At 37.3% G+C, this 18,263-nt stretch overlaps 1 long non-coding RNA gene across 1 annotated transcript, besides 1 other annotated feature; it reads left to right on the top strand.

The window, feature by feature from the left end:
* Nucleotides 1–1,278: 1,278 nt before the first annotated feature.
* Nucleotides 1,279–17,609, top strand: LINC03133 (long intergenic non-protein coding RNA 3133). Its single transcript, NR_105005.1, has 8 exons — nucleotides 1,279–1,510; nucleotides 1,833–2,099; nucleotides 12,627–12,855; nucleotides 13,356–13,632; nucleotides 14,104–14,331; nucleotides 15,535–15,593; nucleotides 16,212–16,286; nucleotides 17,287–17,609. It is a non-coding gene; the product is annotated as a long intergenic non-protein coding RNA 3133 (long non-coding RNA).
* Nucleotides 15,818–17,729: an enhancer, noted in NCBI's record as "VISTA enhancer hs1364". NCBI's record gives its function as "enhancer in: forebrain[6/8] | nose[4/8]" and the evidence as "EXISTENCE:transgenic organism evidence [ECO:0001131][PMID:17130149]".

Genomic DNA, 18,263 nt, shown 5'->3' with positions numbered 1-18,263 from the left:
TGTGCATCAGACTGAGAAAGATCCTCCTTAGTCTGAGATTATTAGTATTTTTTTAATTTTATGACTTCTTCTAGAATTTTAAAGGTTTCATTTTTGACATTTAAACTTTTACTCATCGAAAACTGTGACATTTATTTTGGCATCAGTTGTGTGGTATGGATCCAACTTTATTATTTTTTCTAGATGCTCAAACACCATAAACTGAATTATTAATCCTCTCATTGATTTGAAATGCTACTTTCATCATATACTAAATTACTATATATACCAGTTCCATACTATTTTTTATTATATTAGAGAACAATGATAGAAATTTGTAATATGTTATAATAAATTATCCCTTATTACTCTTGCTTTTTAGAAATGTTCTGGTTTTTATGCTTTATAGTTTTCATTATTAATTTTAGAACCAGCTTTTCTAGTTCCAGAACAATCCTATTGTATTTTTATGGGGGATTATGTTGAATTCACTTAATTAGAACTGAGCACACATTCCATCATGGCCCACCTCCCGCTGACTTCTACCCTCATTTCTGTTTTCCCCCTTTTACTGAAAATTCCAGCTCTAACAGTATCCTTGAAGTTCTACAGACACATCATGTTCCATCTTTATCTTTCAATCAGCTGAGAGGCTTGGAGATAGGCTCACGGAACCCTCCCCTCTCCCAGCACCCTTCCCAGGTCGATGCCTACCCTCCCACTATCAGCTTAGATCTTCTCAGAAGACTTGGCAATTCCCCAAGGGCACCCTAACACATTGTGTTGCAACTGCCCGTTCACTGGTGTGAGAGAGGAAGGTCAAAATGTGCGTGCTCAGACTCAGGGGCAAAAAAATCATCAAGTGAAACTTTTTCTGTAAAGGACCTCATGTTATTTTAAAATTCTCATGTCACCTACAAATGGGTGGAAGAAAACCCTTGAAATTGCTATCCCGTGTATCACTTTTAATTTAAAAAATCTTGAAAATATTTAGTCAATTCAAAGCTCCATCTCCCTTCAGAGCTGCCTCTGGTCTCTCAGGGTTCTTCTCTTCAGGATCTCCTTGTCTCCCACAAGGCATCTGAGCCTAGGAGCACTTTGTGGTTGTAGCAAAAGGGGTCTCTGTTCTGAATCCTGCCTCTTCTGGGCATCCTTTGTTGTCCCTTGAGGTGTGGCTGGTGCCTTCTGCATGGTTTGAGCCTTGTGCTGGGGCTCAGTGCTGACTGTGCCCACACAATGCCCTTTGTGAGGTTTCTGCTCTCTGTGGCCTTCTTGTCCCAACCTCAGGCCTCCACATGTGACTTCTGCACCTCATCTCTGGGATGGTTTCAGTGGGTCCTAGATTGCTTTCTGTGCTCCCTGGGACAGTTGGTGGCACTCTGTGAGACTACTCTGAGGTACCCTTACAAGCTACTCTTAATTTTCCCCGCTGTTCTGCTTGTTGGACATGGCATCATGCTGCAATGTTAACAGTCTTTCAAAGCTAAGCGCGGAGGATGTGATTCCATCCCTGGCAGTTCTTAGATTCCCTGTAAGTGCCCAGGCTTCTTCACTCTCTGATCTTGGTCAGGTTACTTAACTTTCTCTTCCTGAATTTCCTCAGCTGTAAAATAGGAATGAAAGCGGTACTGAAATCATTGTGCCATTCTGCAGATTAATTGCCAGCACTCAATAAATATTTGCTCTTTTATTATTATAATTATTCTACTGCCTCCACTTTTAAGTGTAAGCAAGGATTACCTACAGAAGCTTCACCACCCAAGTCCTTATTAATTGATTTGTTATCTTTACTGATTTCTTTCAGCAAGTGAAAAAGATAGCACTTTTAAAAAACTTCCTTTCTTCTGTTGTAGTTGGATTACAGAAGTGATTTTTAAAGACACTATTAATAGAGGTATTTTATCTTGGTACAAAATTATTTAAAAAATAGACTTAAACAGAGACTTCCACTTATGGGTATAATAGACTAAGACCCTGTTGGATGATTTCTTCACCCTGCATACAACAACTGTGAGACTGCACGTAATCATATGATAGTACTGGAGACTGAAGAGAAGATGACAGGATCTAATGGGGGAGTCCATGCTTGCTTGAAGGAGGAGAGATATGGATCTGGACAAGTAAGTTTTCAACTCCACTGCTTTTAGCCTGGGCTAAGTGTTGTCTTCATGGCTCAGACAGCAGTGGCAGTGGTCCATTAGGAAAACTTAATTTTTCTGGTCTGAGAAATCAAAATGAAGCCAGAAAATTGTAAATGTTGGAGAGAGAGTGGGGTAATATTAGAAGGGAAAGAGGCAGAGAGGGGATCCCTGGTCCTGTCCATCATCAGAGAGGGGATCCCTGGTCCTGTCCATCATATCACTGACTGAATCCAGAAGCATATGGCATGGAAAAGACACAAAGCAGCTCTGGTAAAGATCTGAACTGAAACTGAACTGCTGTCAAAAATCAATATTCAGTTGAAGACCAACTAAGAATATTACCTGCAAAAAGAAAAAAAAATGCTCTATCAGATAAAAATAACAGTATCTAGGATCTGTTAACATCCATGATACTAACGTTCTGTCCAAAATTATCCAACATGTAAAGATCCAAGAAAATGGAAAATATTCTAAGGAGAAAAAAACATTAATTGTGTTCAAGCTAGAGATGAACCAGATGCTGGAACTGACAGATAAAGAAATTAAGACAGCTGTTATAACAATAGTCAATGAAATAAAACAGAACATGATTTCAGTGAATAGAAATCTTGGCAGAGAAGTTGGAAATGTCAGCAGAAAATTAAAAACAATAAAATAGGAAACAACTGGAAGTTATAGAACTAAAATTTATAATTATGATAAAAAGTCGGTGGAAAAACTTAATGGTCAAATAGAACAGAGAAAGAGTAAGTGAACTCAAATATAGAGCAATAAAGATTGTCCAAGGTGAAAAACCTGATTATGGGAAATTAACAGTGTCCTGTTAGACTGGATAAAACAAGAAAACATACATATAATAGGAATGCCAGAAGGAGATGAGAGAATGATGTAGAACAATATTTTTTAAAGAAATAATAGCTGAACATTTCCCAAATTTGGTGAAAGATAAAAATGTTTAAATACTAGATGCTGCACAAACAATACTCACAATGAACGCAAACAAGCTAAAGCTAAGGCACATCATATTAAAGTGTTGACAGCCAAATATAAAGAGTAAATACTGAAAACTAACATATTAAATACAAAGAAACAATGGTAATTAACAGCCACTTTCTTATCAGAAATCATGAAAGACAGAAAAGACGAGAATAATATTTTGAAAACGCTGAAAGAAAACAACTGCCAATGTATAATTCTATATCCAGTAACAATATTTTTTAAGAATGAAGGCTCCAGAGCAGCAGCACACTTATACACACTTATACTCTCTCAGACTTCACTGGGTAGCCTAGCACATGGCCAGACATTGTTTCAGAGATAATAGAGAGGTGTCTTGGAACTCTCCTTATGATGATGTTCCAATTCCACGGGGCATTCTGTTATTGGGATTGTCATGGGTGAAGGGCTAAATGCACTATTCAGGACGACCAACCTAAAATAAGAGAAGAGATAGGACTGTATATGTAAGTAAAGGAAAGATGAAGGAATGCACAGACCTGGAATTGAGGACATCAAAGTGACAGCACTGAAAAATCACATGAAAAATGTATTAATGGGGAGAATCACATAATTGAATCAAACAACTGCAAAAATCAGTTGCAGGCTGGAATTCTAAGTAGAGGGTAAATCAGCTTGAAAGTAAAAAGAAATGTCCAGTTAAGATTTACTCTCACTTAGGAACATTTGTGTTTATGGTGTATTCTCTTCCTACTTAAAATTTAATACATGATTGTTGGCTGCTTGTATGTATTCTTTTGAGAAGTGTCTGTTCATGTCTTTTGCTTATTTCTAATGAGGTTATTTGTTTTTTGCTTGTTCAAGTGTTTAAGTTCCTGAAAGACTCTGGATATTAGATCTCTGTTGGAGGCATAGTTTGTGAATATTTCCTCCCATTCTGTAGGGTGTCTGTTTACTCTGGTGATAGTTTTTGTTGTTGTTGTTGTTTGTTTGTTTGTTTTGCTGTGCAGAAGCTCTCTAATTAGGTCCCACTTGTCAATTTTTGTTTTTATTAAAATTGCTTTTTTGAGGACTTAGTCATAAATTCTTTCCCAAGGCCAATGTCCAGAATGCTGTTTCCTACATTTTCTTCTAGGATTGTCATAGTTTAAGTCAAGCTTGTCCAGCCTGTGGCCTAGGATGGCTTTGAATGTGGCCCAACACAAATTTGTAAATGTTCTTAAAACATTATGAGTTTTTTTGCATTTTTTTTAAGTTCATCAGCTATCATTAGTGTTAGTGTATTTTATATGTAGTCCAAGACAATTCTTCTTCCAATGTGGCCCATGGAAGACAAAAGATTGGACACTCCTGGTTTAAGGTCTTACATTTATATCTGTCATCCATTCTGAGTTAATTTTTGTATATGGTGAAAAGTAGGGGTCCAGTTTCATTCTCCTGCATATGGCTAGCCAGCTATCTCAGCACTATGTATTGAATAGGGAGCCCTTTTCCCACTGCTTGTTTTTGTCAATTTTTCCCAAAGATTAGAGGCTATAAGTGTGAGGCTTTATTTCTTGGTTCTCTTTTCTGTTCTATTGGTCCACATGTCTGTTTTTGGACCAGTACCATGATGTTTTGGTTATTGTAGCCTTAGAGTTAGAAGTAGAGTGACGTCATTGCTTGGCTATTCAGGCTCTTTTTTGTTTCCAAATGAATTTTATAATGTTTTTTTTCCAATTCTGTGAAAAGTGATGATAGTTTGATAGGAATAGCATTAAATCTGTAGATTGTTTTGGGCAATATGGTCATTTTAATAATATTGATTATTCCAGTCCATGAGCATCGAATGTTTTTCCATTTGTTTGTGTCATCTATGATTTCTTTTAGCTGTAGTTCTCCTTTTAGAGATCTTTCACCTCCTTGGTTAGATGCATTCCTACAAATTTTTTTGTGGCTATTATAAATGGGTTGTATTCTTGATTTGGTTGTCAGCTTGAATGCTGTTGATGTATAGAAATGCTACTGATTTTTTGTATCCTGAAAGTTTACTGAAGTTGTTTATCAGTTGCAGTAGCCTTTTGGCAAAGTGTTTAGTGGTTTCAAGGTATAGAATCATATTGTCTGTGAAGAGAGATAGTTTGACTTCTTCTGAAGTCAAAAAGCAACAGATGTTGGCAAGGCTGTGGAGAAAGAAAACACTTAAACACTGTTGGTAAGAATGTAAATTAGTTCAGCCACTATGGAAAGCAGTTTGGAGGTTTCTCAAAGGACTTAAAACAGAACTGCCATTCAACCCAGCAATCCCATTACTGGGTATATAGCCAAAAGAAAACAAGTCATTTTACCAAAAAGACACATACACTCACATGTTCATTACAGCACTATTCACAACAGCAAAGACATGCAATCAATCTAGCGGCTCATCAACAGTTGATTAGATAAAGAAAATGTGGTGCATGTACACCATGAAATACTACACAGCCATAAAAGAGAATAAAATATTGTGCTTTGCAGCACCATGGATATAGCTGGAGGCCATTATCCTAAGCAAATTAATACAGGAACAGAAAACCAGATACCACATGTTCGCACTTACAAGCGGGAGCTAGACATTGGGTATTCCTGGACAAAAAGATGGCAACAATAGACACTGGGACTACTGGGGAGGGGAGAGGAAAGGAAATGTTGAAAAACTGTTGGGTACTATGCTCAGTGTCTGGGTGATGGGATCATTCATACACCAAACCTCAGTATTACACAATATTACCTAGATAACGAACCTGCATATGTACCCCCTGAGTCTAAAATAAAAGTTTAAAAAATCCTAAAAATGCCAAAAGATTTATAAAAACAACAACAAAAAGACATTACATGGGGTTTCCAAATTGATCTCTTAAAAATCAGAAGTGGGAGGAGGGTGAGTATCAAACAACTACCTATTGGGTACTATGCTTATTACCTGGGTAATGAAGTAATCTGTACACCAAACCGTCATGATACACAATTTTCCTATGTAACAAACGTGCATATGTACCCCCTTAACCTAAAATAAAAGTTGGAAAGAAAAAAGTTTAAAAAATTAAAATTAAGAAAATAAAAAACTTGGTACTAACTGAAACATGTGTATATAAAATGCTACAATTTTTATTTCTGATAACAAAACAGTTAATATTTAGAAAATTGTATTTCATCATTTGTAATAAAATGGAACATTCTTAAAGCTGTTAGAAATAAGATTTAATAAATACTATATAAACATACAGACTAAGAAAACACAGGCATATCTCATTTTGTTGCACTTTGCTTTACTGAAATTCTCACATACTGTATTTTTTGCAAATCAGAGGTTTGTGGCAACCCTTCTTCGAGCAAGTCTGTTGGTACCATTTTTCACAGTGTGTGCTTACTTCATGTCTCTGTGTCAGATTTTGGTAATTCTAAAAATTTTTCAAACATTTTCACTATTATTATTTCTGTTATGGTGATATATAATCAGTGATCTTTGATGTTACCATTGTAATTGTTTTGGGGCACTATGAACCATCCCCATATAAGGCAGTGAACTTATCTGTCAATGATGTGTGTGTTCCTACTTCTCCATCTCTCTTCCTCTCCCCGGGCCTCTCCATTCCAAAAGACGCAAGAATATTAAACTAGGCTAATTAATTATTCGACATTGACCTCTGAGTGTTTAAGTAAAAGAAAGAGCTGCATTTCTCTCACTTTATGTCAAAAACTAGAAATGATTAAGCTCAGTGAGGAAGGCATGTCGAAAGCTGACATAGACCAAAAGCTAAGCCTTTTGTGCCAAATGAAGCTACTCAATAATGTCTGAGAGAGTATGAATGTACTGATGTTCTGGGGCTTCACTTTTTTTTTTTTTTTTTTTTTTTTGAGACAGGGTCTCACTCTGTCACCCAGGCTGGAGTGCAGGGGCACCATTTCAGCTCACCGCAACCTCCACCTCCCGGGTTCAAGTTATTCACATGCTTCCGCCTCCTGAGGAGCTGGGAATGCAGGTGTGTGCCACCAAGCCTGGCTAATTTTTCTTGTATTTTTAGTAGAGACAGGGTTTCACCATGCTGGCCAGGCTGGTCTTGAACTCTTGACCTCAGGTGATCCACCCGTCTCGGCCTCTCTAAGTGCTGGGATTACGGGCGTGAGCCACCATGCCCAGCTGGGGCTTCATTCTTAAAAGATATTGACATTGAATATAAAATTCTGTGTCCACAGTTTTTTCTTTCAGCATTTCCAAAAGATTGTTCTCCCTTTTTCTGTCCTTACAGTTTCTGATAAGAAGGTGGCTGTTAATAATCCTTCTTTCTCTGTATGTGATATGTTAGTTAGCCAAGTTGGGAATGCAAAGGAAAAGTTCCTTTGTTTTGTTTTGTTGCTTGAGGCAGTTTCACTTTGTTGCCCACGCTGAAGTACAGTGGTATGATCATAGCTCACTGCAGCCTCGAACTTCTGGACTCAAACAATCCTCCTGCCTCAGCCTCTCAAGTAGCTGGGACTACAGGCACATGCCAGCACACCCAGATGATTTTTTAAAAACTTTTTTGTAGAGTCCAAGGTCTTGCTGTGTTGCCCAGGCTGGTTTCAAACTCCTGACCTCAAGTGATCCTCCCACCTCAACCTCCCAAATTGCTGGGATTACAGGTGTGAGCCATCACACTCAGCCCTGGAAAAGTTTTTGATGGAAATTAAAATTCCTACCTCAGTGAAAACACAAATGATAAGAAAGTGAAACACCTTTATTGCTGACATGAAGGAAGTTTTTGTGGTCTGAATAGAAGATCAAACTGACCACAACCTTCCCTTAAGTCAAAGCCTAACCCAGAACAAGGCCCTATCTCTCTTCAATTATATGAAGACTGAGAGAAGTTTAAAAGGCTCCGAAAAAAATTTAAAACTAGCAGAGGTTGGTTCATGAGGTTTAAGGATGGAAGCTGTCTTCATAACATGAAGTGTAAGGTGAAGTGGCAAGTGTTGATGGAGAAGCTACAGAAGATCTAGCTAAGAGAAGTGATGAAGGTGGCTACACTAAAAAGCATATTTTCTATGTAGATGAAACAGCCTTTTATTGGAAGAAGATGCTATGTAGGACTTTTTTACACACAGAGAAGTCAATGCCCAGCCTCAAATCTTAAAAGAACAAGATGACTCCGTTGAAAGCGGAGAAAGAGATCACATTAACAAAACTTTTATTACAGCATAATTGTTATAATTGTTCTATTAATTATTAGCTATTGTTAATCTTTTACTGAGCCTATGACAAATTAAACTTTATCATAGTTACGTATGTATAGGAAAAACACAGTAGACATAGGTTGTAGGCATATCCATGGTTTTCGGCATCCAGCAGGGGTAACAGAGCATATTGACTGTGGATATGTGTAGATCACAAACGTTGAGTAGACGTTTGTTAGGGACAAAGGCCAAAACTTGAATAATGACACAAGGATGGCTTCGGTTGTGTAGAACTGCATGTCAGTGCTAGAGGCTAAACTCTGAGAACTCCATCCTTCCAGCAGGAGGAATGAGAAAGAGAGTGGGGGGGTCAGAGATAGTAGGAGAAATCCCAGATTGCAGAGAGCTGGAGAAAAGCATCGCCTAATTCTGTGTATAAACTGGCATAAGTTCCAGAGTTACCCCTGAGCAATGTATGTGTGGATTGGACCAAAGACACATAGCAACAAGTTCAAGAACTGAACTCCATAGAAACCACTGCCAAGTCCCAGACTAACCTTTTATATGGTGCATATGCTGGGAAGACCCAAACAGCGTAGCAAAGACTTTGAATTGGAACCATCACAGATAGAAGCCAAGCTAGAATTTTTTGGATGACTTCCTGTTATCCAGAGTAACATTCTCCAGAGTAGGGTGGTGAATGACCAAGTGCTGTCTTCATCAGACCAGGTGCAAGGCCAGGATGCTTTCTCCCACGGCTCTTGTTCACATCATCCTGGAAGTCTCAGCAACTGAAACAAAGCAAGGAAAACAATTAAAAGGCATATAAATTGGGAAGGAAGAAATAAAACTGTATCCATTAGATTGGACATCTAAATGTCCAATCATGTAGACATGATTGTCTGCAAAGAAAATCCCATGGAATCTATAAAAAGCTCTCGGGACAAATAATTGAGTTTAGTGGGTCACAGAATATAAGGTTATTATACAATAACAATCATGTTTCTACCTATTAGCTGGAATAACTGGAAATCAAATTTGAAAAAGTAGTATTATTTACAATTATATCAAAAAATGAAACATTTAGGTATAAATCTAACAAAATATATACTGTATTTATATGCTGAAAACAGCAAAGTACTGATGAAAGAGATAGATGAAAATCTAAATAAATGAAGAGATATAACCTGTTTGTGTATTGAAACAATGATAGCGTGCCAATTTTTCCCCAAATAATCTATTGATTCAATGTAACTCCATTCAGAATCCCAGAAGGATTCCCTGTACATATTTACCAGCTGAGTCTAAAATTTATATAGAAAACCAAAGGTATTAGAATAACCAAAACAATTTTGACAGAGCAATCAAGTTGAAGGACACATGCTGCCCTATTTCAAGACTTACTCTAAAGCTATAGTAATCAAAATAATATGGTTTGGTGAAAGGATAGACAGATAGAGCAATAGAACACAATAAAGAGTCCAAAGATATATCCAGACAAATGTGGTTAATTGATTTTTACAAGGGTGCCAAGACATTTCACTGGAAAAAGAATAGATTTTCCAACAAATTGTGCCAAAACAATTGAACATCCATAGGCATAAAAGTAACCTAGAATTATATCCTGGAGCTTACACAAAAATTAACTCAAAATGAATCATAGACCTAAATGCAAAATGTGAAACTATAAAACTTTCAGAAGACAATAGAGGGAGAAATCTTTGTGACCTTGGATTAGACAAAGTGTTCTTAGATATGACACCAAAAGCAGGATGCATACAAGAAAAACTTAGTAAACTGGACATCATCCAAATTAAAGTCCTTGGCTCTGTGAAAGACACTCTTAAGAGAATGAAAGGGACAGGTTACAGACTGAGAAAATGTATCTAAATCACATATCTGACAAAGCATGTATATCCAGAATATATAAAGGACTTTCAAACCTCCTCAATATGAAAAAGTCTAGTCCATTAAATAATGAACAAATGATTTAAAAAGACAGTTCACCAAAGAAAATATAGGGTAGGCAAATAAGCACATAAAATATCCTCAAGATATTATTTAATCCTCAGTAACTTGCAAATTAAAACCACAATGATGTAGCACTACACACATACAAAAATACCTACAATAATAAATAGTGACAATATAAATGCTGGTGAGTGTGCAGAGTAACCGGAAAACTAGTACATTTCTGGGGGGAATGCAAAATGGTATAGCTGCTTTGGAAAATAGTTTGGGCATTTCTTAAGAAATGGAATATGTACTTACTATGATTCAGCAATCCTACTCTCAGGCATCAACCCAAAATAAATGAAAATATTCACATAAATATCTGTAGGTGAGGATTTACTTATAATCCCCTCAAATTGGAAACAGTCTAAATGTCCTTCAGCTGGTCTGTGGATAAATAAGTTGCAGTAGACCCAAGCAATGTAACACACTCAAGAATATGCAACACGTTTGCAAAGGCAAAATTATAGAGATGCAGAATAGCTCAGTGGCAATTAGAGAGAAGGTTTCACCGCAATGGGGTGGTAAGATGAATTTTTTATATAATGGTGTAACTGTCTTATGGTGGTGGTTACAAAAATTTATGCATTTGTGAAAACTCACAGAACTGTACACCAAAAAGGGTGAATTTTATTATAGAAAATTCAATAGGAGATGAGAGAGTATCTGCATTATGATTGAGTAAAAAAATGTCCATATGTTAAGCTTACCATGGTATGGCTTACAGACATTCATTGTACCATTCTATCTGAAGTATCCTAAAAATTTCCAAAAATGTTAAGAAATAGTCAAAATAGGAAGAACATGTCATGTGCCAAAAGTAAGTAAAGATAATTTTAAGTCTTGGCTCCAGATTTTATACCTATTTTGGAATTATTCTGAAGTCTGTATACATAGTATAATGGTACACTGCTGTCCTCTGTATTCTGTCTTATTTATGGCAATTTCTGTATTTCAGTATCTGAGATATAAAGTATGTGAATAATCTAGAATGACCACTGACATTGTCATCAAGTAATATGAAGATTCATGGCTTCAGAAATTGATTTAATATGTGGTCTTTGCCACTGAAAAACTATTTTTTTCTTAGAGAATGCCATCGAAATAGAGCTTTGTCTAAATAATGAAAAGTCAGGAATTTAAAACACTCACTTCCTATAACAACCTCAGAAATTTCCCCATGTTTACCTACTGCTTATGTACTTAGTTAAAAATAATCATTTCAAAATTACTTCAGTGGAGTCAAATAGTCATTTGAAAATTCTGCGTCAGCTGTAAGCTAGTTCGTCTGAAGGTGAGCATGAAAGTTGTGAGGGAGAGGGTGAAACTCCAATGCTCTTCTTCTGGTCTCCTCACCATGATGCACCTGGGTAAATTAGAGAGCGGTTTTGTAGACTCACAAATTCTCCTCAGGTCACTGCACAAACAAAAGAATGGCATTGCTATACACACTTCAAGATGAACCCAGAAGGTCCCCACTGGAGGACTGTAGAGAAGCCATCTCTAACAACGGCAGAACAACCATCTATACATTGCCTTCCAGGTCCTGTTTGCTGCTGGAAAGATGAAATGTGGCCCAGGAAATTCTGTAGTAATACAAGCACAGAGTAATCTTACTGTGATCCTTCTCCTTTGTGAAAGAAGGACAATTCTTTCTTGTATGTGTGTCTGTGTATGATTGTTTTTTGTATGTACATACATAAAGTATATATACTATACATAGTTTATATAGACACACTTCCACTATACATCAACCTAGACCAATTAAAAATAGTTTTAACATTTACTGAGCATTTGCTATTACTAAGCACTGGTCTAGCACTTTGTATTAACTCATTTAACCTTCACACAAACCATTATTCCCATTTATAGATGAAGACATTGACAGTCTGGTAAATAACTTGAACCAGTCCACATAGATGATAATTGGTTATGCCAAGACTTGAAACCAGGCAGTCTTCTTCCAAGCCTTCACTCTATTTTTTTTTTTTTTTTTGAGACAGGCTGTGCTCTCTTGCCCAGGCTGGAGTGCAGTGGTGCAATCAGGGGTTGGCGCAGCCTCTACCTCCTGGGCTCAAGCGATCCTCCTGCCTCAGTCTCCTGACTTGCTGGGACCACAGGTGCATGCCACCATGCCTGGCCATTTATATATATATATGAGATGGAGTTTCACCATGTTGTCCAGGCTGGTCTTGAACTCCTAGGTTCAAATGATTCTCCCACTTCTGCCTCTGAAAGTGCTGGGGTTGCAGGTGTGAGCCACCATGCCAGCCAAGCCTTCACTTTTAACTGCCACTCTGCTTAGGTTCAATATGCGTTTCAGTTTAGAAACCTCCCCCTCTCTCTTTCCCACCTACCTTCAAGCATGACTATAGGACAGAGAGGAGACTGAGAAACACAAGAAGCACCAGAGTGGTTGAAAGGAGCTGAAGGTTCAGACAGCAACCTGGACACTAAGGGTCCAAAGCCAAGCCCAAGGTCAAGTAGCTGGACAGAGAAACAGCTGCAAGCACAGACTTGGATCCTGACCTGATTTTCTGCAGAAGCAAGTCCCTGTTTAGCCTTCTACTGCCTCCTTTTAGAATGAAGCCAGGTATATATAAAAAAAAAAGAGGTACAGTTGAGGCTGGAATGTAAGATTTGAGATGGGGGAGGTAGGTGAAGAGAGAAGACAGTAAGTCTGTAAAGACAGTGGATGCAAGAATATGGCAGGGCTAGCTAATTTGGACTTCATGCTAGAGGAAGTAAGAGACTAGCAAGTTCAAGCAACGTACTTATAGTAACCCAGCAAGTTAGTGCAGAGCCAGCACTGTTTACTAAAATCTCCTCCCTGTCTGCCCATTGGGTATTCTTTCCATGAAGGCAGGCTGCTTCTTAATTAGTCTTTTCAGGCTCCAAAGGCCAATCAAAATTATATATGGAAATTTAAACTTGTATCACTGAAATGTTCCCTATAGAGCTGTTGTGCTACATAAAAAACATATGTAAAATGTATAAAGTAAAATACTACCAGCTCTAGAAATAATTTCTAACCCTTGAACACATACATGTACTATGTCCTAATGTGCTGGCCACTTGTTGTTTTGTTCCCAGACCAGTCCTTTCCATCATGGGCTCCTGTGGAAAATGACCCCAGCTCAGCTCAGTAGTTGATGGGACATCTGATTCAGGTTGGACCCAGCCCAGACATCTGATTCAAACAATATTCTTCTCCAGGAATTTTGTAACCAGCACTGGTAAAGGGAGGGAAGTGCTCCCCAGTGGGGAGAGCTGCAGAATGTGAGACTTGGAAACCAAAGGCCGCCATGTTTTCTGTCTCATGATGGAATCCAATCTTCTTTGGCGGGGAAAATAAATGAAGCCAACACCAGTAGGTATAAGAGAGATACAGAGTTGTAGCTGTGTCAAAACTCTGTTTCCCCTTGTTCTTGAAGTCCATATATGTGTTTGCCCTGTCTATGATTCAGTTTGATTGTATGCCCTGCCCTTTTCTTTGATCATATGGGATGCCCCAATGTGGTCTTTTTAGCAAATTCCCCTCTTTTATTGCCAACTACATAGAGCTGTTTTAGTTCCTTGGTGTATGTATTCAATTGTATTATTGTCACTATTTTTCACTCCTTCCTTTGAACAAAATATTTATTTATACACTTCACCATATGACTTGCCTTCTTTCTGATACGGAATGCACATCCCTGCTCCATTGACTTTGAGCTTAGCCATATGATTCATGTAGGTCAAATGTCATGTCAGAAATGATGGGGTGGCAGTTTGAGCAGAATCTTCAAGAAGCAGTATGCATTTCTACCACTATTCTTGCATTTCTCCCCTCCCTCATAAGGACAACATATATCAAGCAGGGGCCATTGCTCCAGCCTGACTCCAGGAATCAGCAGACAGCGCAGCCTCATTCTCCACCTGCTCCCTGCAGTACAGCCTCAGAACCACACAGTTGCAGCCAACCAGCTCCTGACATGGAACTTGAGCAACAAATGCCCTTTGTTTTTGCAAGTCCCTGAGATTTGGAAGTTGTTACACAGCATTCTCTCAGCCAGAAGTGACTGACATGGTATCATTGCAGTCTTGATCAATTTGCCCTATGCAAAGTGTTTTTATATGCCATGAATTTCTGAAGATAGAACTACTGTTATTCCCCATGCAGCAGCTGAGGAAACTGAGTCTTAGAATGTATAAACAACTTTCCCAAGGCTACTGAAAGTGATGGGAATCAAATATATCTTTGCCTAACTCCAGATCCCATGCTTTTGAAGATATTTATACTGCCTAAAGCTGTAACAGACTTTTCTAATAGTCATACATGGCATATTTAGTTGCTCTCCATGGGGAAATAATGACCTGACATGGAAAATATTGGTGTACTTTATTATGAGATTCTAATAAGCAACCATTATACATGTATATAATATATACATGCAACCTCTTAAGCTTATGCCATTCTGTATGGATGTTACTAGCTTGAAGAAATTCTAAAGAGTAGGGATATTAAAAATACTGAGCCAATAAAGTAGGATAATTTTTTTATTGTAGTCAATTTTCATTTATAATATTAAATTCTTGCACTCCCTTTCAAATGGACTCTGGGCTTTTTTTTCAGATAGAAAACTTTCCACACATGTTTAAAATGTTATACAATTTACAAAATTCGATTTGCATGTATTTTTTCAGAAATTATGTAAAGGTGAATTACGTCTGTAACAGGCTGAATAACTATGTCCACAGGGGAGGATTTATGGCAATTAACAGGTGGCATTAAGAAAATAATTGATGATTCAATAGCATTTCTAACTATTATTTTTGAAAGAGTTTTAGACATTTTAACAAGCAGTTTCAAGGGTAATTGTTACTGTTTTTATTTTTAGAAACATGGCACAGTCTAAGTAACAATTTGCTCTGCTATCTACATATTTGCCTAATTTTACAAGTGGTGAAATTTATCTGTCCTGGCTAGAGTTGTTTGTTGGCAGCATGTTGGGATTTAGGGAAGGAGGAGGAGGGAAAGGGAAAATTTGCCCAGGACAGAGCCCCTACACAATGCATTGGCTTGATGCCTGGCTCTCTCCACGCCCATTCATCTATGTGCTTCTTGGAATGAAAGCACAAACAACATGTCAAATGACTTTATATTGTGCTGATAGAAAGGCAGAATTCTGAAACTATATTTAGAATCCTCCACTCTTAAAATCTTTTTCCCAAGTATCAATTCTTTTCTGTTTATACCTCCTAAAGACTCTCTGTCTGTTTTTTCCTATAGGTCACTGAGAGGCTGACCCAAGGACAAAAGTTTTTTTTTTCTTTTTTCAAAAAAAACATGTATCCTTTACCTCTTATTGGCTGAGAGGATAGCTTTTTGATTGGCCTTTCAAGCTTCTTGATCCATTAGGAATAAAATCTTCAATATGTATAAGGGAAGTGCTAGGACTTGGTGATAAAATAATGCAAGTGAGTGAAGGTCTTGAGTCAGCAATCAGAAGGGCCCTCCTTCTGGGTACAGGCTGAAAATGTAGGAGTTGGGAGTTCTGATACTATCTATCTATGATTGACCTTTGCAGCTGGTGGACCAAATAGATCTGGGAAAGACATTCTTCTCAGACAACTCTCTGCACAATCACTGTAACTTGCTGTGGTCTGTGATCAAACTTTAGGCAAACAGTAGACAATGGAAATGACTGCAGACGTGATCACATGGTCTTTGTGGGTTACAGAAACAGAAGGAGGCTGCTATTTGATTAAGAACTGTAGAAATCTAGCTGCAACCACAAATGCTAACAGTAGCAGGTGAAAGATATTAGCAAAGCATGCATGAATTTGAATAAGATATGGTCGGGAGATGGAACTTAAGCATTAACACAAAGCCTTCCTTATTCCTTCTGGCATCTCCATTTGGGTCAGTTTAGGACTGTGCCAATTTTTCTCAATGGAGCTTTTTAGGATCGCACAAAATTTTCAGTTCGAACAACAAAATCAGTGGTTGTAATTTACCATTTTCAAGGTCACCTATAGAAGGTATTTACTTTCTTCTTTTACTTGAAGTAGGCTCTGTATCCCTGTAAGCAGTTTCATAAGATTTGTCACATTTAATTAGCATTTAGAGTTGAGTTTTAGAAAAATAACAAAAAGATTTTGAAAAGATTACCTTCATTAAAAGTAATATATTAAAAATATATTGTAGAGACATTTTCAAATGGTAAATTTTCAGGTTCAGTCAGAAGCTTGTTTTCCCACAACAAGGAAAAACGGTATTATCGTCATGTGTAAGTGTGGCCCTTTTGTCTTAAAAGACACCAAAACAATTCTGTGTCTACTGCTCTAGTGTGGAGCCCATTAAATTCTCTTTCCAATGTTTTCTAGAAGGCTTTGTTTGAATCTATGTTTATATCTAACTAAGCTGTGGTCTCACATATCATTAGTCTTTTATTGACAATATCAGGCTTCAGGAAAAGTGATCACTCATCACATACACAGTACAACAGCTTAACTGAGGCTGACATAGGAAATATGCAAGGAAACTAGTTCAAGTACAGACAAGCCCATGCCTGTTCTATTAATGGGTGACATTTTAAACAATAGAGCTGTCAAACCCTACTTCGAATAAAGGGGCTTAATCATGGCAGGAATTAGTGCACACGACAGGTGATTATGTGTTGGAATTATGCCAGAACAGGACCAGCTGCAATGCTTCGAATTATTTGTAATCTCAGTAATTACAGCTTTGGGAAAAAAATTATTTGGGATTGGAGAACCCAGAATTGGTGAGAGAAGTAAACAAAAACTACATACAACGTTTTTATTTCCACAATAGAGGTCTCTACAAATGGGAAAAGTTCAACCCACATTATAAATTTAAGTCCATCCCTCTTCTCTGCAATTCAACACCACAGCAATATAATCATGCCTTTTTTTTCCCTTTCTCAAAGTCCAATTATAGTGTCTCCTTGCAAATAAAATAAGCTTTCAGCCATCTACTTACTAATTTGAGCTGAGAATTTTTTCTAAAATTATTTAGGCTGCAATATCTAAAGCCTCTCAGGAAAACATGAGAACCAGCTGGAAAGGCATTTTCCCATGTTCCCACTATTTTGCTATGATAAATACTGTATTTGATTACCTTCTGTTGAAGTTTATAAAAAGAGATCATTCTTTAATGCTGAGGCCATTTGCGGAGAGTGATCCAGTTGGAACCAGTGATTTCGAGAATTCCAGACGTGAGAGACTGGAAAGCAAATCAGAAAAAAGACAAGTGACGAAGTTTTACAGTCAGGAAACAAAATTCTGATCTTTTGTTCTTGTTTACTTTCTATGGCAATGAAGCAGAATGCAAAAATCGGATCTGTCTTAGTTGTTGACCTCTAATTTTATCTACTCATTGTTTTTCAATGGAAATAAAACCTAAGTCCTCCTATTTTCTTTATATCCATATGGTTATTACCACAAAATGTAATCTTGGCACCATAGATTTTTTTTTACACTTTTTTTTGTAACTTTTAATTTAGCAATAGTTTTAAACTTTCAGACATGTTGCAAAAATCGTGTTAGGAAATCACTTATCCCTTTACTCATATTCACCAGTTGTTTATATTTTGTCCCATTGATTTATTATTCTCTTACTAAATATTTATGTATACATATTTTCTGAACCTCTTGAGAGTAATGTAGAGACATTGGGCCCTTTTATTGCTAAATACTTCAGTGTATTTCTTAAGAACAAGGACATTATCTTACATAACCACAGTACAGTTTTCAAAATTGGGAAATTTAACATAGACACATTACCATTAGTCAAGTCACAGAGAAATTTTGCCAGTTATCCCAGAGTGGTGCTTTATAGCTAATTTTATTTTTTCATGCTGAATTGAATCCAGTATTACAATTATACTTTGCTGCCAGGCTGATTTAGCAACCTTTAACCCAAAACACTCCCCAAACTTAAAAGAATCTTTATGAACATTGCCAGTTTGAAGGAGAATTGGGTATTTATTTTAC

The sequence above is a fragment of the Homo sapiens genome, chromosome 8 (assembly GCF_000001405.40).
Source record: "Homo sapiens chromosome 8, GRCh38.p14 Primary Assembly".
In the NCBI taxonomy this organism is placed as follows: domain Eukaryota; kingdom Metazoa; phylum Chordata; class Mammalia; order Primates; family Hominidae; genus Homo; species Homo sapiens.
The sequence above is the reverse complement of the archived record's forward strand: the minus strand, read 5'-3'. Positions and strand labels throughout refer to the sequence as shown.